Below are 26,342 nucleotides of genomic sequence, written 5' to 3' on the forward strand. Positions count from 1 at the left end.
GAGACCTAGAAGACCTAGAGGACATGCAGATTTTTGCCTATAGTTAGAAACCCTAATTTATATCGTCTGCCTTTGAATCCAGAGTTTTTCTACTACATCATATTTTCTTCCAAGGAACAAATAGAATCATAGGTATATGGTTGATTGTGACAATAAAAGTTCACTGATTGATTTATGAAAACTAAGATAGGTTTTAGAATACAGATAATCTTTTCTTCACAGTTTCACAAATGTGTATTTTTATTGTCATCTGCATTTGTAGTTATGATAAATAAGTTTGCTCTAACTTAGAGATAAAGAAACAAAGTTTTTTGATTCACCAGGGATTTCCAGACCAACAGCCCTTGGGAGGTGCTTTAAGATTGCTAAAAGTTTGTAACAGTAGCAGGCATCACCAGAGCCCATCACTCCTTAGAGTAGTACACTCTGGTTTCCATGTCCCTGTGAAGACTGTGTATCACATTTCTGTCCCCAAAAGGTGCTTGTGTCACATCCCTGACTCCAAAAGTGTTTTAATTTTTTACCTCTGGTAAATACATTGCCCTTGAGTAATGTTTTATCCTTGGAAATAGTTTCTTATGACCCATCTGAAAGGATGTTAGTTTCAATGGGCTCTGGGATCCCAGCCCTCACTACTACATGTGGTTTCTACTTAATGGATTCTGTCTCGTCTGTCCCTGATATTTTTTCAAGTTAATTATTTGTAGTGATATCACAGTGAATAAAAAGTCCTCAAGGTGAAAAACCGGAATAGTGCTTACAAGTAAATGGCCAACCTAATGATGGGTCTGAAATATATGCCTCAAGAAGGTACAATACTGTTTATATTAATTTTACAAGGTCATAGATAATGGATCTGTACTATTGTAATCAAACAGAGGACGCATGATATAATCCAAAAGAGACGCAAATGGGTCTGGGCGCTGGAGATTGCTCATGTTAAAGGAAAGGTCAGAATACTTATGCACCATCTACTGGATGGTTAAGCTTTCAAAACCAATGTAATCATATACAAATGCGCTGAGATTGATTTAGATTAGGTATGCAAGCATACCTAGTCTTTATATTGGTCATCAGCCCTCAATATGAAAAAGATTCTTCAGTAGATTGTGGTACATTATATGTTAATGAATTTGACTTTTTTTTTTTTTTACGGTGACCATTGTGTCACATTCCAATTCATACGGATTAGAGGTTCCCAACCCATAATAAGCCTCAGAATCACCTGGTGAATTTGTTAATACACAGACTTCTGTCTCTCTGTTAAGTTTCTGATTTACTAGACCTGAGCTGGGAAAAAGGAATTATTTCTAACAAGTTCCCATGATGGCCGGGTGCGATGGCTCACGCCTGTAGTCCCAGCTTACTTGGATGGCTGAGGCGTGAGAATTGCTTGAGCCCAGGAGGCAGAGGTTGCAGTGAGCCAAGATTGCCCCACTGCACTTCAGCTTGGGCAACAGGGTGAGACCCAGTTTCAAAAATAAATAAATAAATAAATAAGTAAATAAATGAAAATAAAAATAATTAAAAATAACTAGTTCCCAGGTAATGCTGATGCTGCTGGTCTATGGGTAGCATTGATACAGATTAAAAAGTTATTAGTGTAGCAAATCCCCCAGATACCCTTTATTAAAGCAGTTTCAGATGGTCTGATTTAGCCTGATTCCACTACCATTATAAAGTGTTTTCTTGATGCTAACACACCTTGCTAGAGCACTAATAGTGGCTGAGAATGCCTAAGAATTTTTATTTGGGATTTATTTTTTACATAAAATAATACTTGCAAATAATGTTTTAAATCCAATCATACTATGAAGACTATGGTGGTAACCAGCAATCCTCTTACCCACCTCCCCTACTTGCAATTTCTGATACCAAGGGGCAACTGTGTCAATCTTTTATTTTCATTCTGTCATATGACTCCATATTTATAGATAACGTGTATATCACTGTTCTCTATTTTTTCCTATTTTGGTTTTATCTACTGCTTTCCCATTATAGAAAATATCTATTTAACTGTCTTATTCCAGTCTTTCCCTCAACCTCCAGTATACTTATGTTAGTTAAGCCAATATTCCGGTTAGATTATTCATATCTGAATCAAACAACCTGCTATGATTAGGATTTCTTTTTTATACATTGTTTTTGTTTCTTATAGCCTTATCAACTGGCCCACTTTTCATTTGCTTAGTTTTTAATATATATCATTAATGCATTCTAATCTCTTTGGAAGAACTGTAATTCTCATTTCAATATTTTTTTTAAAGGAAAGAAGTTCTGTGTGTGTGTGTGTGTGTGTGTCTGTGTGTCTGTGTGTGTGTGTTTCTGTGTGTGTGTGTGTTTTCCCACAGAGACATCCTTTCTGGAGCTTCTCTCCTTTCCCTTATACAGTTGGACTGGAGGATCTCTGGACTTGCTACCATTTTGCCACCTCTCTGCAATGTTGTATCTTTTTCCTTCTGTCTCTAATTTTGTTTGTTTTTCTGTTTCTCAGTAGGATTCCTTTGACCTTCATTTTCCAAACTGTGTCTTAATTTTTCTCTCCCTGATATCACATTTTTACATTTCAGGAACTCTCTCTGATTCTCTAAATGCTTCTTTTTAAAAATCTGTATCTCCGAAGGAACTTTTCTTAAAGTTCTTTGAGAAAATTAAATTTAGAGTTTTTGAAGCTTTTATCTGCAGCTTACATTGCCTCTGTTTTCTTCAAGTTTGGTATGCTTTTTGTTTCTTTTTGGTCTCTTAATTATACGTTAAAGGCTCCCCAAAATCCCTGGAAATCTTTTGCTGCCTATTCATACTCATGAGTGAAGTCGTGAAAATAGTGATATGAAGTTCTCTGTGTAGAGAAGGGCTTGCTAATTAGGCTATTTCCCACATGGTTACTGGGTGTGCACCTAGGAGCCAGTACCTGCATCTCTTCCAGTTGATTTCAATTCTCCAGGTAGGAATTCCTCCATCTCTTATGTAAGGATGTAAGCTGTGGACTGGCAGCTTTCTGGAGGTCTAGTAAGGGAAGATAACTTCATTAACAATGTTTGATACATAGGCTAACAACATAGGCTAACATGGAACCCTGATTTTCACTGCAGTTTGACAACCTTATATTTAACTGTTTCTGGTGGCCTGAGAACATACCATTGACGCTCCAGTCTTCTATGGGTGGGAGTACAGTGGATGGCCCTCAGAAATCACTCCCTTGTTTGAGTCGAAGAGAGAACCCAGAAGAGTCTAACTGCCCCTTATTAAAAATGGTCAATCTTTATCTTTTCACATTTAACCTGACAGTCAGATATATAAAGTGTCCCCAGTTTTTACACATTTTGAAAATTCCGTGCCATAAAAAAATACTTCCTTCCCAGCAGTTCCCAGCTATTTACAAAAACTTTATGTGAGTTCTAGTATCTTCTTTCCTGATGCATCTGATGCTTTATTGTCATTTTCATTTGGCTGCTGGAGAGAGTAAATGTTAACTTTTGTGTTCAATTAACTTTTGTTCAATCTGCATTATATTACTACTTATTAAGAATTCGCTATATTACATATATCAAAATAAGGAAAATAGAGTGTCCCTGGTATTCAGAGAGAGCTTAAACGCTGGAGTTTACACAAGAATACCTCCATGTTTCATGTCAAAATTTATTTTAAAATTATCTATTTTAATCTGAAAGTTATGTTTGTAAATTAGTGTTATCTAAATCAGTGTAGGAGATTTTCATTAGTGTTCAGTACTTATCACTGTAAGAGCATGGCTGAGACAAAACATGGGTTACATATTTCATATTCATTTGATTCTTTAATACTTTCTTTGTATAGCTGAGTTCAAAAATTTCTAATTATAAGTTGATCATCAATTCAAAAAAATGTTTGATTTTTTTAAATGTTTGCTATATATCCCCAAAACTGTACTTTTCCATTTTCTTTTACTTTTACCATGTCATTTTCTATTTACTTTTCCATAACTTTTGTTTCATCTTCCTTTTAAAAATTATCAGTATTCCTGATATTTTACATAAACTCACCATAATCTGTATATTTGTCCCTCTTTTTTTCTGAGCTCACCAATATTATGAGCAACAAATTCTTTGAAATGTGTAGATTATAGTCACCTGATTGGGAAAATCTTTTCTTTTATTTTCAACTACCTTTTTTAAGAAAAGAATATTATGCCCCATTTTTATCCTTTCAAAACAAGTATATCTTTTATAAGCTATGAAGATGGGCTAAAGGTAGATAATTTTTCAAAAGCATAATGGCTGTATTATCTAAAACTAAGAAATAAGACATTTTATGTCTTGAAAAGGCTGTTAGAATAAAATTACCTCACTGAAATTATTCATCTTTTGGCTAAATTGACTTTTTTTTGCTTTCTAGAATTTTATTTTCTTCATTCAGTGGATGTATTACTTATTTCTGAAAAAGAACAAAAGAAAAAATAGCATGTGAATTTGAAAACACTTATTTTACATTATCTTGACTACAAGATTGTGAAGATAAGCTTTATTCAAAATGATTATTGTTTCTTATTACCAGAAATAAACATCATAAAAAAGAAGTAGCTTCAGCAATGTACACAGAAATAATTTTCAAGTTGACATTATAACATATCGGACTTTGGAAAAGCATAAACTATATTTTGTGACTACAGTGGATGAATGGGTGATAATTTCAACTATAAGTGTAAACATGCACTATGTTTCCAGAAATCTAGATGAGAGACAGTATTTAATAGTTTTTAAGAGCACAGTTTTGGTCTTAACAGAACTGGTCCAAGTCCTGGCTCTGCCACTGTGGTTTACCTCAAGCCATTTTAGTTATTTGATCCTCAGTTTACTCGGCAGAAAAATGGGGATTTACAACTCGAGGCTATCATAAAGATTAAACAAACTTCTATACACAGAGTATTTAACGTAGAACCTGGCACATAGTGAGCATTCAATGAATGGTTGCTAATGTTACTACAAAGCCGTTCAGATATGTTTGATCAAAATAAATAAAACTGTACCAATCAAAACAAAATTAATTAAATGCAACACCAAAATTGGTAGCATTACCAATATTTACACTTTGGGCAAATAAAAACAGCTAGGCATTTATGCTTACAGGTGACACGCTAAATATTAGCGTCTCTGGATGAAATAAAATAGGGAATGATAGTTGTTGCAGGAGAGGTGTGCTCTCATTTTAAAGGTTAAAAAAAAGATTTAAAATGTGTATAAATCTGGTCACCAGCGATAGCTTTCTTTTCATTATACTCAGAAGATTCACTTATTTAACAGATATTCTTTGATTGCCTATTATGTGCCCGGCTGTGTTTACCTACCATGCAAAAGGAAATACCTCCTTTTTATGCTTGAATACTTTCCTTTTCCACAGACATTTCCACTGGGCCTGGGAGATGGGCAATTCTATTCATGGACAGATGGTTTGAGAAGAAAGGACTGGCATGACTATGAAAGCATTCAGAAAGAGGCTATGCGCTCAGGTATGAAGCTCAGTGTACGCCAAAGTGCTATTTCACTCGCAGCAGTGTCTCATTTGTCACGTAAAGGATCTCTAATTAGCATTTCTTCTGCACACTGTAAAGTATGTTTCATGGGGATATTGGAGGTGATACTGGACAGAACCTAAATGACTTCAAATTTCAGAGAGAAAACAAATAATGAATAGTCTTTCTAATATTAGCTGTGGTAAAAGTCATTAAAATTTAAGAAATATATAGTACTATATATTCCCAACTGCTTGTTCATAATTTCTAGGGGTATCCTGGGATTTATCAATGAGACTTGACCTGGTAGATATGTATCTTGAGCAAGATTGACTCCTTAGAGCTGAAGTGTATCTAACTGGCAATGCAAAGTATTTAATTTGTACCAATGTTTCTAGACACTGGCGGGACGTACAGCAAGCCAGCAGGTCAAGCAGCTGGGGTTCTAAGGTTGGCAATAGTTGGAAAAGCAATCAGGCAGTTAAACGGAATCAAGTAGGTCTGTGTGTAGCAGAGTTCTAGACTTGGTGCTAGAGTTAAAGGACAAAGTAGCAAGAAAGAATAGGTCTTTCCACTTTGGGAGACCGAGGCAGGCGGATCACAAGGTCAGGAGATCGAGACCATCCTGGCTAACGCGTTGAAACCCCATCTCTACTAAAAATACAAAAAATTAGCTGGGTGTGGTGGCGGGCACCTGTAGTCCCAGCTACTCAGGAGGCTGAGGCAGGAGAATGGCCCGGGGGGTGGAGCTTGCAGTGAGCCGAGATCGCACCACTGCACTCCAGCCGGGCGATAGAGTGAGACTCCGTTTCAAAAAAAAAAAAGACAAAAAAGAATAAGTCTTTCTAGAAGGACTGAAAAATTAGGTTGTTAGGCTGTTGTGAACAGAAATTCAGAAGGGTATATCAGTAGAAATCCAGTGAAAGTGAGTAACTCATGATAGGAAGCCCATATTCTCTTATTCAGCCAAATAAGTTATTTTCACAATAAGGATGTCACAGAAATGGAGCAGCTACAGTTTGGTAAAGACATCTCAGCAGCCCTGAGACACTGCATTCAAGGTAAAATCAGCAGCAGAATTATAACTTAGCCAGGGTGTGAGGTCCTCTTGTTCAACTAGAGTTAGTAACAAAATTGTTCTGGGCTGTGAAATGTTCGTAGCTCTGTATCAGGTATGGCTGACTGAATTACAGTCTTTTTTATTTTCTTGCATTCCTTTTCTTCCAAAAAAGGCCTGCCCCACGCCCCACCCCCAGCTTTTTAAAGCAGCTTATTCCAAAGATGTTCCCTGTTTTCAGAGCGTCAACTTCTTCTAGGTTTTATCATCTTTCCACCTTGGCAGTGACCCCATGAATGGTCGTGAAAATGAGTTCCTTACCAGCATCCTCACTTTTCTAGTACTTTTATTTTTTTCCTCTATTTGCTTGATCAACCCTATATTAATCCAACCACTTGTTTCTCCTTATGACCCCAGGATGCTGAAGTTTTTTGGAAATGTTTTCATAATCTTACCAACTGAATCTTCCACAAGTTAATAATAAAATAGCCCAAATTTACTGAATGGATGTTTTATACTAAGTGCTTTGCATATGTATTTTATTTAAACCTCAGAATAACTCTGATAGGTATAATTATCCCAAATTAAGTAAAATTGAGTTCCTACAAATTTATTAAATTTTATCCAAGTTCAAGTAGCTAATAATTTGCAGCTCTGGATTAAGAACCAGGTCTTATCATGGTCCATTATACTCCACTGTCAAATAATAATAATTGGAAAATATGGAGTAATAGCAAGGACACAACAGGAGAAAGACACACCTAGGTTCAAATCCTAGCATTTCCATACATGCACTGTGGCAAATCAATTTCTGTTTCTGATATTCTACTTTGTAGAATTTATTTAAGGATTAAAGAAAATATACCCACAGTAATTGTCCAATTATTTGGACATATTGGAAACTCAACTAATGATAACTGTAATTATTAATCCATGTAAGTTACTTTTACATGAATTGGTATGCCTATCCTTTGCTTGTACAAATGAGTTTTGAATACAAAATCCAGTGCTTCACATTTATATCTGCTCCATACCACCCTTTCCACCTCCTGAATAAACTTGTCTTTTCTATCTTCATCTTTGCTATGACCAAGGGAAAATTGATCACAAAAGAAATTGGTAATATCACAAGTTTTTAAGTACAAATTCTTTGTGTAATTGAAAAGCTTTTACATGGTAGAATTTTTTTTATTCACTGGAGGATATATGATAAATTTATATACTAGAATATTATTTTTATACAGTGAAATATATCATAAATAAAAGTGTATTAAGACATACGTGTGTGTACACACACACTCAGGTACAGAGTCAAAATCAAATAAACATCTTTGTACTTCATATACAGGCCAAGGAAAAGGATCATTTGTGCCATTGTGTCCCCTCTAAGACTTTAATTTTGTGTTTACTCTCTTATTTTTCTCTGTAGTTTTTACTGCCAGTGTATTTATCCTGAATCAAATACTGGTAAGTTTTGCCAGTGTTTGAACTTTATCTAAAAATTTAATTTTACTGTATGACTTTCTTCTTTCACTCAAAAATATTTTTGAGATTTATCTAGGTCAATGTGTGAAATGTTAGTTGGTTCATTTTTACTATTCTTTAATTTTCTGTAACATTGTCCTCTTGGTGGGCCTTTGAATAGTTTTAGTTGTTGTATATAATGCTGCTATAAGTATTCTTGTGCATGGTTCTGGGGTAGGGACAATATTAAGGTACATATTTAATAGTAGATTTGTATGTCTAGAGAATGCACAGTTGAACTTTATTAGGTCATGACAAGCTGCCAAAATTGATACACCAATTTCATTTCAATCAATAATGGATAGAATTCTCACTGCTGTACATCCTTGTGAATATTTGAAATTGACTTTTCCCCCAATTTGGTGATATGAAATAGTCTCTCACTGTCACTTAGATTTGCATTTTATTAATGCAAGCAAATTAAAATGTAGTTGATATCTTTTTTATGCTATGGGGACATTTGTTCTTCCTTTTTGGTAAAAGTCCTATTCATTTCTGTTTCCATCTTTTGAATTATTTGCTCCACACAGTGTTCTTAATTTATTTTAAATGATATCCTTTGGTGGTTTTATTTAGTGACAAGCACGTATCCTACATTTTGTAGATTATTTTAAAACATCTCTTTATGTATGGTTTAATGAATAGTTTTCAATTTTGAGGTAGCCAAATCCAGCAATCATTTTTAAAAGATAGGTCATACTGATGTTCTACATTGTCTTTTAAAAACTTGATAATTTTGGCTGGGCCCAGTGGCTCACATCTGCAATCCCAGCACACCGGGTGGCAGCAGAGGGAGGATCGCTTGAGCCCAGGAATTTGAAAGCAGCCTGGGAAACATAGCGAGACCTCATCTCTCCAAAAAAAAAAAAAAAAAAATTCATCCGGGCATGGTGACATGTGCCTGTGGTCTCAACTACATGGAGCTGAGGCAGGAAGATCACTTGAGCCTGGAATTCGAGGCTGCAGTGAGCTATCCAGCCTGGGCTGGAGACTCTGTCTCTAAATAAATAAATAAATAAATAAATAAATAAATAAGCAAGCTTGATAATTTTACATTTTACATTTGGGTCTTAGATCCACCTAGTCTTCATTTTTACATAATGTGAGGTAGGGATCCAATATTTATTTAGTTTTTATTCACTTAACCAATTATTATTAACATTTATTAAGAAATTTGTCTTTCCCTCCATTGCTCTGAACTATTGACTCTATTATAAATTAAGTTTCCATATTTATGTGTTCTTTTTCTGGGTTCTCTATCCTGTTCTGTGAGTAAAAATCCCTGTGCTAATACCATAATAGCTAATGTACTATATCTTTATTACAACTATTACTATCTGGTATAGCTCACCAAAAAAGAGCTACATTCTTGCTCTTCTTTTTGTTGTCATTCTTACATTGTACTCTTCCTTAAAATTTTGTATTCGGTTTTAAATTTCACATTAACATACACAGATATGCACAAAAAAATGGGAATTTTTGAATTGTATTTAGCCTATGGATAAATTAGGAGATAACTGATATTTTCCAATATAGAATAATCTATTCTATGGTACATTATTATATTTATTTGCTACTTATTTATTATATTTAAGGATGGCTTTGTAATTTTGTTCTCAGATTATGTTTAGTATTAATCTTAGTAAACTAATATTATATTGATTTTGTTCACATAATGATTATACTGAAATTCCTCGTTGTTTGTAGTTGTAATATAGAAATGTTAATAACTCTTAACACTGATATGAATTTAGAAAATGTTCTAAGGTTTTCCATTAATTCAAAACATTTACCAATAGTTTATTTTGGATTTTAAAAATGTAGACACTCATATTTGCTAGTAATGACAGTGATTTTAAAAATGTTTTTTTCTATTCTAGACCCTATAATTTTAGTTTTAGTTTTCTCCTATTATTATAATTGCTAAGAACTGCAGTGTAACATTGAATAGTTGGTAATAATGGCTACTTTTGGCATTTTATGATTCTCACAAAAGCAATTTAAATGCTCATTTTGAGATTTTATCTGCCTGTCTATTGTTAGATCAATTTGTCTAATGTAAATACATTTTATCATGTTTATTAACACAATACCAATACACTATGCACTTTAACAAATACACTTATGTTACTTCTGAATCTGTTTTGCTGAGAGTTTGTGACTTTCTTTTAACCTGAAGGAGTGCTGATTTTATTAAAAGTTTTTTGTTCATTTGCATTTATTAACATAGATAAATGTTCTCCTTTAATCTGTTATTGGGTAAATTATATCTATTGCTTTTCTAATGGAAACCAAATTTGTTATTCTAGACTAAATCTTCCTTTTTTTAATAGCTACATTTGATTTGTTAATATTTTGTTTGGCATTTTCAAATCTTTATCTATGAATTAATATTGGCCCCAAATTTTCTATTCTTATCAAGTCTTTGTCAAGTTTTGGTAACAGTATAATGAGCTCATAAAATGACTGTTTAATACTTGCTGTTTTTTATACTTCATAATTGTTTGTTGTAAACTAAAATTATTTCTTTAGTGATCATTATGGATTTTTTTGTGGATGAAGCTCTGTTGACCTGAACTTTTCTTGGAGCATAGATTTTTAACTGCTTGGCTAACGTTTTATGTAGTTACAGTAGTAGTTGATTATCTATTTCTTCTGGAATTAATGGTATTCTTCTAGTAATTTGTCCATTATATCTAAATGTTTATATTTATTAATACAAATTTATTCACATATTCTTATGTCCTCATAAGATTTTCGTAATGCCTGCAATGCTTAAATTTATATTACTTTTTTCAGATATTGTTAGTTTTTTTTTTCTTTTTGCTTTCTTAATCTATTTCTACAAAAATTTGTCACTTTTTTGTTTGTTTGTTTGAGATAGAATTTCACTCTGTTGCCCAGGCTGGAGTGCAGTGGTGTGATCTCGGCTCACTGCAACCTTCACCTGCCGGGTTCAGGCGATTCTCCTGCCTCAGCCTCCCGAGGAGCTTGGACTACAGATATGCACCACCATGCCCGGCTAATTTTTGTATTTTTAGTGGAACAGGGTTTCACTATGTTGGCCAGAATGGTCTAGACCTTCTGACCTCTGGTGATCCGCCCACCTTGGCCTCCCAAAGTGCTGGAATTACAGGCATGAGCCATTGTGCCAGGACAAAAATTTGTCACTTTTATGAGTTATTTCAAAAGCCAGTTTTTGACTCTGTTCATCTATTTTATTTTTCTCTAATTTTTTTCTAACTTTTTAAAAATTTTGTTTGCAGTAACTTTTTTATTTTTTACTTTTAAAATTTCAACATTTATTTTTGTTTCAGGGGATATGTGTGCAGGTTTGTTATGAGGGTATATTGCATGATGCTGAGGCCTGGGGTGTGATTGAACCTGTTACTCCAGTTCTCAGCATAGTGCCCAGTAGGTAGTTTTTCAACACTTGCCCACTTCACTCCCCCTGCCCTGTAGTCCCCAGTGTCTACTATTCCCATCTTTTTGTCCAGGTATGCCCAGTGTTAACCCACAAATGGGTTAACTCCCACTTATAAGTAAGAATATGTAATATTTCATTTTCCGTTTCTGGGTTAATTTGCTTAGGATAATGACATCTAAGTGTATCCATGTTGCAGCAAAGGACATTATTTCATTCATTTTTATGGCCGCATAGTATTCCATGGTATACTTAAAAATAAATTTATACCTCCTAATTTCAGTCATTTTTCTATTGTAGAATAAGCATTTTGGAAACTAAATTCCCGTCTGAATATTACTTTAACTACATTGCACTGCTGTGTGATCCAGTGTTTCACATTGTATTTGCTTTTCTTTCAGTATGTTTTGAAATGTCTAGCCCACTTAAAAAGCACTGAAATTATTTTAAAATAAGAAAATTCAGAAACTCCTTCCCAATGAAATCTCACTAATCTTTATAAAAGTATATTAGCTGCCAGGCGTGGTGGCTCATCCCAGCACTTTGGAATGCCGAGGCAGGCGGATCACGAGGTGAGGAGATCGAGACCATGCTGGCTAACATGGTGAAACCCCGTCTCTACTAAAAATGTAAAAAAATTAGCCAGGCATGGTGGCAGGCACCTGTAGTCCCAGCTACTTGGGAGGCTGAGGCAGGAGAATGGCATGAACCCGGGAGGCAGGGCTTGCAGTGAGCCAAGATGCGCCACTGCACTCCAGCCTGGGCGACAGAGTAAGACTCCGTCTCAAATAAAAAAAAAAAGTATATTAGCATGATAGGCAGCATGCATTTCATTACATACTTTGTTAGTGTTTTCATTAATGTTGTTACATTACATTTCTGTTTCGTTCTGGTAATTACACCTCTGTGGAATATTTGGTGATTTTTTAGATATCAGTTATTTTATTTTATTTTGTTTTACTTTTAATTTTAGGTATACATTTGCAGGTTGATTCTATAGATTGCAAGTTGTGGGGGTTTGGTGTACATGTTGTTTCATCACCTAGATAATAAGCATAGTATTCAATAGGTATTTTTTTGATCCTCAACCTCCTCCTACCCTTCATCCTCATGTAGGTCTTAGTGTCTGTTGTTCCCTTCTTTGTCTATGTGTACTCAACGTTTAGTTCTCACTTATAATAAGAACATGTGATGTTTAGTTTCCTGTTCCTGCTTTAGTTTACTTGGGACAATGGTCTCCAGCTCCATCCATGTTGCTGCAAAAAACATGATTTCATTCTTTTTTATGGCTACATAGTATTCCATGGTGTATATTTACCACATTTTACTTATCCAGTCTACCATTGATTGGCACCTAAGTTGATTCCATGTCTTTGTTATGGTGAATAGTGCTGCAGTGAACATACACATTCATGTGTCTTTATGGTAGAATGACTTATATTCCTTTGGGTGTATACCCAATAATGCATTACTGGGTTGAATGGCAGTTCAGTTTTAGGTTCTTTGGGTAATCTCCAAAATTCCACAATGGCTGAACTAATTTACATCCCCATTAGCAGTGATTAGTGATCACTAATGATGAGTGATGTTGAACATTTTTTTCATTTGCTTGTTGCCTATTTGAAAAGTGTTCATATCCTTTGCCCACGTTCTAATGGGTTTGTTTACTTTTTGCTTGTTAAAGTGTGTAAGTTCCTTATAGATTCTGGATATTAGATCTTTGTCAGATGCATAGTTTACAAATATTTTCTCCCATCGCATGTGTTGTCCATTTACTGTGTTAATAGTTTTCTTTGCTGTGCAGAAGCTCTTTTGCTTGATTCAGTCGCATTTGTCAATTTTTGGTTTTGTTGCAGTTTTTTTTGATGTCTTCATCATGAAATATTTGCCAGAGCTTAAGTCTAAAATGGTATTTCCTAGGTTTTCTTCAAGGATTTTATAATTTTAGGTTTTACATTTGAGTCTTTAATCCATCTTGAGCTGATTTTTTTATATTATGTAAGGAAGTGGTCTAGTTTCAATCTTCTGTATATGACTAGCCAGTTACCATAGCACCATTTATTAAATAGGGAGTCCTTTCCCCATGCTTGTTTTTGTCAGCTTTGTCAAAGATCAGGTGGTTTCAGGTGTATGGCTTTAAATCTGGGGTCTCTAGTCTGTTCCATTGGTCTATGTGTCTATTTTGTACTACTACCATGCTGTTTTTATTACTGTAGGCTTGTAACATTGTTTGAAGTCAGATACTGTGATGCCTTCAGCTTTGTTCTTTTTGCTTAGATTGCTTTGGCTATTCAGGCTCTTTTTTGGTTTCATGTGAATTTTAAAATAGCTTTTTTTAGTTGTGTGTTTAGTTTAGTTAGTGAAGAACGTCATTGGTAGTTCAATAGAAATAGCATTGAATCTGTAAACTGATTTGGGCAGTATGGCATTTTAACAATATTCTTTCTGCCTATTCATGAGCATGGAGTGTTTTCCCATTTGTTTATTTCATCTCTGATTTCTTTGAGCAATGTTTTGTAATCCTCATTTTAGAGATCTTTCACCTCTCTGGTTAGCTTTATTCCTAGGTATTTTATCTTTTCTGTGGCTATTGTGGATAGGACTGCATTCTTAATTTGCCTCTCAGCTTGGATGTTGCTGGTGTATAGAAATGCTACTAATGTTTCTACATTGATTTTGTATCCTGAAACATTGCTGAAGTTGTTTATACAATCTAGGAGCCATTGGCAGAGAATATGGGGTTTTCTAGTTATGAAATTATATTGACTGCAAAGAGGAATAGTTTGACTTCCTCTCTTTCTATTTAGATGCTTTTTATTTCTTTCTCTTGCCCAATTGCTCTGACTAGGACTTTCAGTACTATATTGAATAGGGAGTGATGAGAGAGGGTATACTTATCTTGTGCCAGTTTTCAAGGGTGATGCTTCCAGCTTTTGTCTGTTCTGTATGATATTGGTTATGGGCTTGTCACAGATGGCTCTTGTTATTTTGAGGTATGTCCTTTAGATGCCTAGTTTGTTGAGGGTTTTTAATATAAAGGGATGCTGAATTTTATTGAAAGCATTTTCTGAATCTATTCATATGGTTATATAGTTTTTATTTATAGTTCTCTTTATGTGATGAATCACATTTATTGATTTGCATATGTTGAACCAACCTTGTAGCCCAAGGATAAAGCTTACTTGATCATGATGGATTAGCATTTTGATGTGCTGCTGGGTTCAATTTGCTAGTATTTTATTAAGGATTTTTGCATCTATGTTCATCAAAGATATTAGCCTATAATTTTCTTTTTTGTTGTGTCTCTCTGTCGGTTTGGTATCAGGATGATGCTGGTCTTATAGAATGAGTTAGGGAGGAATCTCTCCTACTCAACTTTTTGGAATAGTTTTAGTAAGAATGGTACCAATTCTTTGTATGTCTGGTCGAATTTGGCTGTGAATCCATCTGGACATGGACTTTTCCTGGTTGGTAGCCTTTTTTCTTATTCCATTTCAGAATCAATTATTGGTCTATTCATGATTTGAATTTATTCCTGGTTCAGTTTTAATAGGTTGTATGTTCCAGAAATTTATCCGTTTCTTCTAGGTTTTCTAACTTGTGTGCATAGAGGTCTTTGTAGTAGTCTCTGAAGATTTTTTGTATTTCTGTGAGATTGTTTGTAATGTCAGCTTTGTCATTTCTGAATGTTTATTTGGATATTCTCTTTTTTTCTTTATTGATCTTGCTAGTGGTCTATCTTATTTATTCTTTCAAATAACCAACTTCTGCTTTCATTGATGTTTTGTATTTTTTTTATGTCTCAATTTCATTCGGTTCTGCTCCGATTTTGGTTATTTCTTGTCTTTTGCTAGCTTTGGGGTTGGTTTGCTTTTGTTTTTCTATTTCCTCAAGGTGTGATGTTAGATTGTTAATTTGAGATCTTTCTAACTTTTTTATGTGGGTGTTTAGTGTTATAAACTTTCCTCTTAATGCTGCGTTGTGTGGTTAATTTTAGGATATGTGCCATGTGCTGATAAGAATGTGTATTTTTCTGATTTTGAGAGGTGAGTTCTATAAATATCTGTTAAGTCCATTTGATCAAGTGTTGAGTTCAGAATGCTGAAAACAGGCGACCAATCTCTTCTGTCTTATAAGGTTTCTGCTGAAAGGTCTGCTTTTAGCCTGCTAGAGCTCCACTTGTAGGTGACCTGCTCCTTCTCTTTAGCTGCATTTAATATTTTTGCTTTCATGTTGACCTTGGAGAATCTAATGAGTATGTGTCTTGGGGTTCTCTGCATTTCCTGAATTTGAATGTTGGACTCTTGTGTGAGGTTGGGGAAATTTTCCTGGATGACATCCTCAAATATGTTTTTCAAGTTGCATGCTTTCTCTCCCTTTTTTTCTGGGACACCAGTGAGTTACAGATTTCATCTCTTGACATAATTCCATGTTTTTTGAAGTTTTTGTTTGTTTGTTTGTTTGTTTTTGAGATGGGATCTCACTCTGTCGCCCAAGCTGGAGTGCAGTGGCACGATCTCGGCTCACTGCAAGCTCCGCCTCCTGGGTTCATGCCATTCTCCTGCCTCAGCCTCCTAAGTAGCAGGGACTACAGGCACTCACCATCATGCCCGGCTAATTTTTTTTTTTTTGTATTTTTTAGTAGAGATGGGGTTTCACCATGTTAGCCAGGGTGGTCTCCATCTCCTGACCTCGTGATCCACCCACCTCAACATCCCAAAGTGCTGGGATTACAGGCGTGAGCCACTGCGCCCAGGCTTTGTTTGTTATTTTTTATTCATTTTTTAATTTACTTTTGTCTGACTAAATTAGTTCAGAGGACCAGTCTTACAGCTCTGAGAGTCTTTCCACAGTTTGGTCTATTCTGCTATTTGCAATTGTATTATAAAATTCTTGTAGTGTGTCTTTCAGCTCTATCAGATCAGTTTGATTCTTTCCTTAAATGGCAGTTTTGTCTTTCAGTTCTTGATCCATTTTATTGTCATCCTTAGATTCCTTGGATTGAGTTTTGAGTTCCTCCTTAATTTCCATAACCTTCATTCCTATCCATATTCTGAATTCTATGTCTGTCATTTCAGCTGGTTAAGAATCCTTGCTGGGAAACTTACTGTGGTCATTTGGAGGAAAAAAGAAAAAGACACACTGGCTTTTTGAGTTGCCAGAGTTCTTGTGCTGGTTCTTTTTCACCTGTGTGGGCTGATGTTCCTTTAACTGTGGTGTAATTTGATTATAATCAGTTTACTTTATTTCAGAACATTTTCAGAGGGTCAAGGTTTTGTTCTGGGTCTTTATTCGTAGCTGAATTCTTGTCCTTGGTTTTACAGGGTGTAAGTTAGCAAAATATTTTTGCTATTGAAGTTTGGTCTGTGATCCAGTAGATGGTGCTTAAGTGTAATGGCCAGTAGGCTGGTAGGTAGGCTCTTGCTCAGCCCTGAGGCTCTTCTATGATTTCTCACATTTGTAGCCATCTTAGTTCCCTTCATTTACTTTAAATAATTGTTTTTAATAAATAGGTGGTATACGCAGTGGAAGGCATGTTGTTAAATACTAGAGGTGAGTAATAAGAAAAATATATTATTTCCACCTTTGAGGAAATGGAGATTTCTTGAATTAAGAAAAAAAATGTAAAAGGAGCAATTGAAAGACCTTAGGACCTCATGAATAGCATCAGGATTCTCTTTTGGCACATCTGTGCCCTTAGAGTTAAACCTAACTGTAAAGATTATTCACATTTGTTAATGTTCAAAGAAATCCAGAGTTTTTATTATTTCATAATCTTACACTTCATTATTTTGGTGTTAGCATTGGCCAAACCAATGTATTGGTAGAAGAAGGGTATGAAACCCAACATTGCAGGACCAGGAAGGCTTCCAAAGAGAGGTAAACCAAATGTTAAGGCATTAAGGCATATGCTAACATCAGTTAAGAGTTATGCTTTTATCCAATTAACTCTGATTTCTCCTTCTTATGAGTAGCCACTAACGTAGTCATATTTAAACATTATTGTTTTTCTTATATTTTCTATGTGTAATACCATTATAGTTCATTTAACTAGTTTTATATTTTGTGAGAATTTATTGACACTGTATTTTATCTTTTAACAGTTTGGCTGCACCTCTCAGCTGTACATTATCACAAAATAGATTAGCATTTTTAAAATCTTCATTCAGATTATTAATAAAAGTTGAATGAAAAGAATTTCAATACAAATTCCTTTAATACAGTATAAAAGAGAATGTACATTTTGATATTGATTCATTATTCAATATACATTGAGTATAATTATAGTAGCTGAAGAGCTATCTAGTCGACATTTCTCCACGTATAATTTTTTTTTAAGTAATACATTTCTGAAATAAAAGTAAACTCTGCCTATGACATTTTATGGAACTATAGATCTAACAAATTGGGCTGGGAGTTGAAGGGGAAAATGCAATTGCTTGGATAACTGTTTTCTAAATATATGATCTTTCCTATTTATCATAACTTCCTTTTATAAGTGGTAAAAACATACATGTTAAGTAATCCATTCAGAGATGTGTGTGTGTGTTTGTATGTGTGTGTGTGAGATGTGTATGTGTTTTGTGAAATCATTATATCACTGATATGTTTTCTAGAAAGCATTTGTTTTTAGTTTTGAACTTTAAAATTTTTTCTTTTTATTTTAACTCAAAATATTGTCACTGCATTTGCCACTTGTTTTTGGATTAAAATATGAGTGAACTCAACGTTTTTAAAAAGCTGGTTTCAACTGTTCTATATGATCTATTTTGTTGAAACAGATTATACTCTCATCTAATCAATGTATGTATTCCACTATAAGCCTCAGGAATTCTATGAAATTATGTCTTTTTGCTACTTCAATTTGTCTTAAATAGTCATAATGGTAGGTTTGAATATCCAAGGTTTTATTGAGTCTTCTGTCATTTTATTCATTTACTAATTCAAGAAATACTTTTAAATGCCAAATACTATAGCTCTGGAAGGAAATTTTAGAAAAAAAATAACTATAGTGGTTCTTGAAAAGCATAAGGCATTGTAGGAGGTGCCCTCGCTGTTTATTGGCACTGCGGCCATTCTGATGCAAACCACCAATGTCTCCTGCCTAAACTATTTCAATAAGTCTCTTAACTGATCTTGCTCCAGAGCTCTTCAAATAAAAGCCAGAAGGATCATCTGAACATATATAATCAGATCATTTCACTCCTCTGCTCAAATGCCTTCAAAGGCTGTTAATCATATTCAAAAATAAATCCAACTTTATTCCACTACCCATAAGGCCCAACATGATCTACACCTGACCCATGTCTCTGACCTCAACTCTTACTGATTGGTGTTCAGTTTCTCCACTGGCCACAATAGCCTCCTTGTTCTTCCACAAATATACTAAACATGTTCCAGCAATTTTTCACTTGCTGCTCTTGCTACTTTGAGCACTTCTCATACATATCTTCACAAACCTACTCTCCCCTTCCTTAAGGTCACCAGATCATATGTCCCCAGTTTAGAAAGGCCTGCCAATCACCATATTATCATATGTGGATGTAATTACTTTTATTCACTCTCTGTCCTTTTACTCTGCTTAAGTTTTCTTTCTAGCAATATCTTCCTATCTATATTTACACACATGTATTTACGTTCAATGAGTTAAAATATATGATTTCATGAAATATAACCAATTGTCCAAGGGCTCTAAGTCACAAGATGGTCTTGAATCATTTGAACTGGGCTTTTGGAATAACGGCACTCCTACATTAGGAAAGTATCCTGAGAACCTGCCACAACATGCTTGCTGGTTTCCTCTTTTGGAGATTGCTTCTCATTTCTTCTTTAATCTCATGATTAAAGTCACTAAGCGGTTTTACTAATTACTGCAAATTGCCGTAGATGAACATTTAAAGGATATGCATTGAAACCCCATTCGAGAAGTGGGAATTTACCATGCTTTAAATGATTAACGGTAGGCTTTCCTAAGTTCCTTTAAACAACATCTCACTTTAGTGCTGATCAGGGACCTGTTTTGCTCCTAAATGTCTTTATTCTCCCTAATTGAACAAGATTGTGAACTAAACAGAATGAGAAGCAGAAATGTGCACCATTTGGGTGAGACTGACTATATTGCCTTCAGAAAGTAAAAATAGCAACCATTGCTATGGCTACAATGGGTTTCTGGTCATCTTTTATTGAAGCCTCATGTCTCTTAAAAATATTATCTGGCACCCTTTTTATTACTATCCACAATGTCACATTATTTATTGTTAATAGTTCACTATAATTTAAACATCTAGCATGTGCTCTCAATAGATATCATAATGAGATTTGTTGGGAAGTGGTCAGCTTTGGGAGGTATTACCAAAACAATATTCATTATTATTCATAAGGTTAAAATTAACTTTTAATGAAATATTTCCTTTGTCACTCATTGCATAATAATGAAAATGTAAAATGGAAATGAAAAGAGATTGTGAGCATTCTGTTGAGATGTATCATTTAGCTGTCTAAAATTAGAACACAACTTAGGCTGAGACTAAATTGAATGACAATTATCTAGAGGAAAAATCCCTTCAATCTTAAAATAAAAACAGCAGTGTAGAAATATCTCAGGAGATTTATTAAACTGCAATCAGTTTATATTAAAAGATATAAATAATGCCAGCTTTTAAACAGAATTCAATTTAACTATTTGTTGCAAAACTCATAATATCTCTCTTTAGAAATATCAACTTCCTATGGGCAAGTATGCATAAGATTATTTTTCCCAGTAGTTAAAATGTGGTTGAATAATAGCAACTATCACAGATTTATTTGTTAATTAAACTTCCTGGGCTTTAGTGTTTGTCTTGCATATAGAATATGAAGGATATTTATATCATCACATAACCCTGATTGCTGTGCCTATATGACTATAACTTGAAGCAACTAGCATATGTTTTCTCATGCCATCAAATCTATTCAATGGATACACAATCTCAAAAATTTTTCACAAGGGGGTCTATATAAACATATTTCAAGTAGAGCTATTTCGCTTTGCTTCTGGATTTATATTACAAGAGAAACATTTTGGGAGCTTCTCCCCCAAATCTTTTTTCCTCTTAGTATTGTATTTATGCTTTTGCAAAAATCCCTTTCATGTGTTAGTAGTTGTGATTACTATCAAATTGTTTCTAGCTGTAAATGCCCCACATTTGTGAGGAGTCATATGTGTAGATTATAAGCCTTGATCATGAAGAAACAAGAAAATTTTCTGCTGAAGGAACACGGTATCTGGCAAGAATCAAGACGAAAAAGATCAGAAGCATCTAGTAGAGCAAGGGATTGGAATACAAATTATTGAGTACACTAAGATTAAATTGATTTTATGTCTACCATTCATTTTCCTCAGGTCTTTTGCCCAATTTTATTTTTCCTAGTTTAACTCGTTCCTGCATAGCTGCTAAATGAGGCCAAAATGTAAATTTGTATTTTCTACCAATTTGCCACACAGAAAACTCTAATACCTACCGTACCTAATGTTTTTACCTCAGCTCAAATGCTAATCTTTCTGCTAATAGTAGCTCTGCTCTTGAAATTCCATGAAGTTAGATTTGCCACTGTTGCCATAGACTTGATGGGAGGAGTTAAAGTCATCCTTACATTTAGAGTTACAGTTTACATACTAATGTAGCATGTATATCAACACGTTCTCAGAAGAAGAGTAAGAACTAAAATTAGAGAACAAATTTTTGATGACAGGGACTATGATGTCACCATTATGACATTAACAAAGTTTTGCAACATGTTAATGCTGTATTTACAGAGAGTCTCCCATGATTTGAGGGACTGTGATTCATTCAAGCCCAGATTATCATTAAAGCAAAGCATTGCAGTTTAGACATAACTTTATAGAGATCCAAGTGAGTACTTGAACATCCTCCAAAATTCATATCCAAGATCTGGCACAAATTTGTCAGTGATGAGTTATGGGCCTTCTTGGCTCCATTACCTAATGAGTGCTGTAGAGGAAATGTGTGTGTTTACCCACTAGAGAAGGAAAAGTGCCAGCTCTGGAGCCTGATGGCAACACTTTCCAGAGACTGACTTCAGAACCACAATGCCAGTTTGACTTGATGCTCTTTGCCTGAGTAGCAGTGGGTTTTGAGCAGCTTTCATGCCAGACAAAAAACAACTGTTCCTTCTGAGACTCTGCAATCACAAAAATATAACATAGAGCATCCTCTGGAAAGCTAGAAACTCAGAACTGAGATCATACTAATTTAAAGGAAAATTTATCTGCCAAAAAGTATGAATAATAGACTTGCATTGTTTATGAAACATAGATACTATAATAAGATGAGAAAATAAGATTTAATGGATAAAGAATTTAATACAATGGTGTACTGATGTGAAATGACCAGGAGAGCACAATAGAATTAGCGTTACTAGGCGTTTCGTTCGATAATGATTTACATTTCCAGGATGACCAACTGAGCCTTAGGGATCCAATTTTATTATTGGACTAGAATGACTAGATTAATTTAATAGACATTTACCTAGATAGCAATCTAATAGTATTTGGTCATAGATAATCATTGGGATACCAATATTATGAGTAGGATCCATTTATGCATAGAATTTTTTTGTTTAAAGAAATAGTAATCATTAAAGAATAACTTTTGAAATTGTGGCAAAAGTTTACAAACAAAGACATTATTGGATTGATATTTAATTTTAGTGATTGTTTTATAATAGAAATAAATGTATGCAGCTTAATAAAATACTTTATAAACCTTCTGACAAATACATCACAAATATTTTTATAATCTAACCAGAGGCATTCAATGCATTATCCAAACTTGGGATATCAGCGTCACACTTACAACAAAAATTTAGTATGGATTACAGCAAATCTTTTACTTTCTTTACATACTGCTTTCATGTTTCTCACAAAAACTCTATGAGGCGTAAATGGTCAAATATTAATCCTATTTTAACATGAGAACAAATTCAGAAAAGTCGTGTTTTAAGTTACATATATATGAAGCCAGGCGATTTATATATATATATATGTATATATATATAAATATAAAATTTATCATTTACATACACACACAGTCAAATTAATGCCAGTACTGTAACTTTAATGAGTTCTGGGGTAACCCTGTTTTTATATACTGCTTTCTTCTTATCTTCTTATTGACTTTTCCCACTTTCAGTATTTTCACTAATTCAGGTTAACATTTATAACACATGTGATCCGAATTTCCCTGTGCCTCACCCATCTATGGATGTAATGAGACCATATCAACAGTGATGATTCAATTAATGTGACTTCTGCTCTCCACCACATACAGGCCCTCTAGTCTCTTCTCTATAAAGTCTTACCATACTTCTGAGCCCCTTGGAAGTCACATACAAGTTCTCTAAATACTAATGTCAGTATTATTTTACTCTGGCTGCTGCACTGACAATTGATGTTTGACAGCCACCCAAATTCAGCATCTCTCTACCACAAGCTCTGGGACCCTAGGGGCTCCTGAAGCCACATATCATCATGTCCCTAAAGCATTATCCCCTATTTTTCACAGCCTTCTGAAATACTTGATGGTTTCTTAGAGACGTGGGAGAATGCCTCTCTCCTCTACCTTGTGTTGTACTTCATCATTAAGGCACTAATACAACTGATACAAAGCTTGCAGTTCTTTCTCACACAGAGAGCCTCATACAAAACAGCTCCTTCCAACAGTCATTCTCTTAAAAGAACTCAACTGTAAGATTCTTAAATCAGACTGGAAACCAATGTCCAATAGACACAAATGGGCTTCTACATCTTGCTTTCTCTAATCCACTAGTTGCCTGGGAACAATACAAAGCTGTGAAACTCTCAGGAATATAAATTTAAACCAGCAGATGCCTTTAGGCTGGTTCATTAGATGAGTTAAGTCTCACCAGTAGGGATAAACAGACTCAAGCTAGGACCCTCCACCCCACCCCAGTAGATACAGATGATTCTTCTTTTTCTCCCTTTTTCAACATACACTTAGGTTAAAATAAGTAGTCATGCATAAATTCCTCTTTAGTAATTTAAATTGTATTTAGTTTTATTTTTAATCAAAATCATGATATTGTAAAAGTATTATTAAAGTAATAAATGCTTATTGAAATTTTTTTCAAGTTCATACATGACTGTGTGAAAAATACCACTTTTAACTACTGAAAAAGAAATGCTATTTCTTTTTATGAAAGAAATTTGTAGTCTTTTTTTACAAAGAACAAAATATATTTGACAAAGAAAAATGTAGTACTTTTAAAATGAAATAGACAGTCCTCATAAGGTTTTCAAACTGTTTAAAGATGCCTTCAAATTTTTTAAACAGTAACAATGTGTTACTTGCTGAATATTGAAAGGAATGAATACACAGTCAGATTACCTCAGTTAGCTAATGAAAATTTATTTTAACATGATCATGAAAGTACCGAAAAGCAGAAAATACTTTCATTAGCAACTTTTCAATACTTTAGGAATTGAAAGTTGCATTAGTAACCTCATAGCAGCTTTGTAGATGCACAGCAAGGGACCACCCCTTAGCAGAGCTCTGTCTAGTATGAAGCTAGCTTTTTTCTGTCTTAGAATGTTTCTACTGCTTCTGTTCTCCCTTTTCCTAATGACTAACACTCATTGTGTCCCTAGGCAAAAAAGACCCTAGATGTGAGCATATGACTGTCTAGAACAGTCACCAGTAGGTTTCATTTATCACAGGGAGGTAAAGTCCTCATGCCAGGCTCCCTGGAAAGCAGCAGAACAGATTGCTATTAGTCAATCCCATTTGGTTCTAATAGTAAGCCACTGATATGGTTTGGCTGTGTCCCCACCCAAAGCTCATCTTGAATTGTAGTTCCCATAATTCCCAAGGGTCCTGAGAGGGATCCGGTGGGAGGTAATTGAATCATGGGGGTGGTTCCCCCATGCTATTCTTGTGATAATGAGTAAGTTTTCACGAGATCTGATGGTTTTATAAGGTGCTTCCCCCTTCACTTGGTTCTCATTCTTCTCTTTCCTGCCACTATGTGAAGAAGGATGTGTTTGCTTGCCTTCCAAAATGATTATAAGTTTTCTGAGGCCTCCCTACCCCTGTGGAACTGTGAGTCAATTAAACCTATTTCCTTTGTAAATTACCCAGTCTCAGGTATTTCTTCATAGCAACATGAGAACAAACTAATACAGTAAATTGGGTACTGCAGAGAGTGGGGAGCTGCTGTAAAGATACCTGAAAATGTGAAAGTGACTTTGGAACTGGGTAATAGGCAGAGGTTGGAACAGTTTGGAGGGCTCAGAAGAGGACAGGAGAATGTGGGAAAGTTTGGAACTTCCTAGAAGCTTGTTGAATGGCTTTGACCAAAATGTTATAGTGATATGAACAATGAAGTCCAGGCTGAGATGGTCTCATATGGAGATGAGGAACTTGTCAGGAACTGGAGTAAGGTCACTCTTGCTATGCAAAGATACTGGCAGCATTTGGCCCTTGCCCTAGAGATCTATGAAACTTTGAACTTGAGAGAGATGATTTAGGGTATCTGGCAGAAGAAATTTATAAGTGGCCAAGCATTCAAGAGGAAGCAGAGCATTCAAGTTTGAAAATTTGCAGCCTGATGATGTGATAGAAAAGAAAAACCCATTTTCTGGAGAGATATTCAAGCCTGCTGCAGAAAATTGCATAAGTAACAAGGAGCTGAATGTTAATCACCAAGACAATGGGGAAAATATCTCTAGGGCATGTCAGAGACCTTCACGGCAACCCCTCCCATCACAAACCTGGAGGCCTAGGAGGAAAAAGTGCTTCCCTGGACCAGGCTCAGGGCCCCCCTGCTCTGTGCAGTCTCAGGATATGGTGCCCTATGTCCCAGCTGTCTTAGCTCCAGCCATAGCTAAAAGGGGCCAAGATACAATGGGGGCCATTGCTTCAGAGGGTGCAAGCCCCAAGCCTTGCCAGCTTCCAGGTCGTGTAGGTCCTGTGGATTCTCAGAAGACAAGAATTGAGGTTTGGAAACCTTCACCTAGATTTCATAGGATGTATGGAAACACCTGGACATCCAGGCAGAAGTTTGCAGCATGGGTGGACCCCTCAGGGAGATCCTATGCTAGGGCTGTGCAGAAGGGAAATGTAGGGTTGGAGCCCCCACACAGAGTCCCCACTAGGGCACTGCCTAGTGGAGCTGTGAGAAGAGGGCCACCATCCTCCAGACCCTAGAATGGCAGATCCACTGACAGCTTTGCACCATGCACCTGGAAAACCCACAGGTACTCAACACCAACCTGTGAAAGCACTGAGGAGGGGAGCTGTACCCTGCAAAGCCGTAGGGTACAGCCCAAGGCTGTGGGAGCTGCTAAAGGCTGTGGGAGCCCACTCCTGCATCAGTATGACCTTACATCAGTGTGACTCCATGTGAGTCATGGAGGCCTGTGGCCCCTCTGTTTTGGCCAATTTCTCCCATTTGGAGTGGGGGTATTTCCCCAATGGCTGTATCCCCATTGTATCTAGGAAGTAATTAACTTGCTTTTCATTTTGTAGGCTCATAGGCAGAAGGGACTTGCCTTGACTCAGATGAAACCTTGGACTTGGACTTTTGGGATAATGCTAGAATGAGTTGACTTTGGGGGACTGTTGAAAAGGCACGATTGTGTTTTAAAATGTGAGGACATGAGATTTGGTTGGGGCCAGGAGCATAATGATATGGTTTTGCTGTGCTCCCACCCAAATCTCATCTTGAATTTTAATTCCTATAATCCCCACATGTTGTGGGAGGGACCCCATAAGATCTGATGGTTTGTAAGAGGCTTCCCCCTTCACTCAGTTGTCATTCTTCTCTCTCCT

At 35.5% G+C, this 26,342-nt stretch overlaps 1 protein-coding gene across 4 annotated transcripts in view; it reads left to right on the forward strand.

Annotated features, from left to right (window-relative positions):
- Positions 1-26,342, forward strand: part of GALNTL6 (polypeptide N-acetylgalactosaminyltransferase like 6) — a 1,228,156-nt gene that overhangs the window by 410,876 nt on the left and 790,938 nt on the right. For all 4 annotated transcript variants that reach the window (NM_001034845.3, XM_017008243.3, XM_017008244.3 and 1 more), the window contains one exon: positions 5,377-5,485. In NM_001034845.3, coding sequence (NP_001030017.2) covers positions 5,377-5,485 — 109 coding nt within the window. The remainder of the gene's footprint in view (positions 1-5,376; positions 5,486-26,342) is intronic.

This window comes from Homo sapiens, chromosome 4 (genome assembly GCF_000001405.40).
Source record: "Homo sapiens chromosome 4, GRCh38.p14 Primary Assembly".
NCBI lineage: Eukaryota > Metazoa > Chordata > Mammalia > Primates > Hominidae > Homo > Homo sapiens.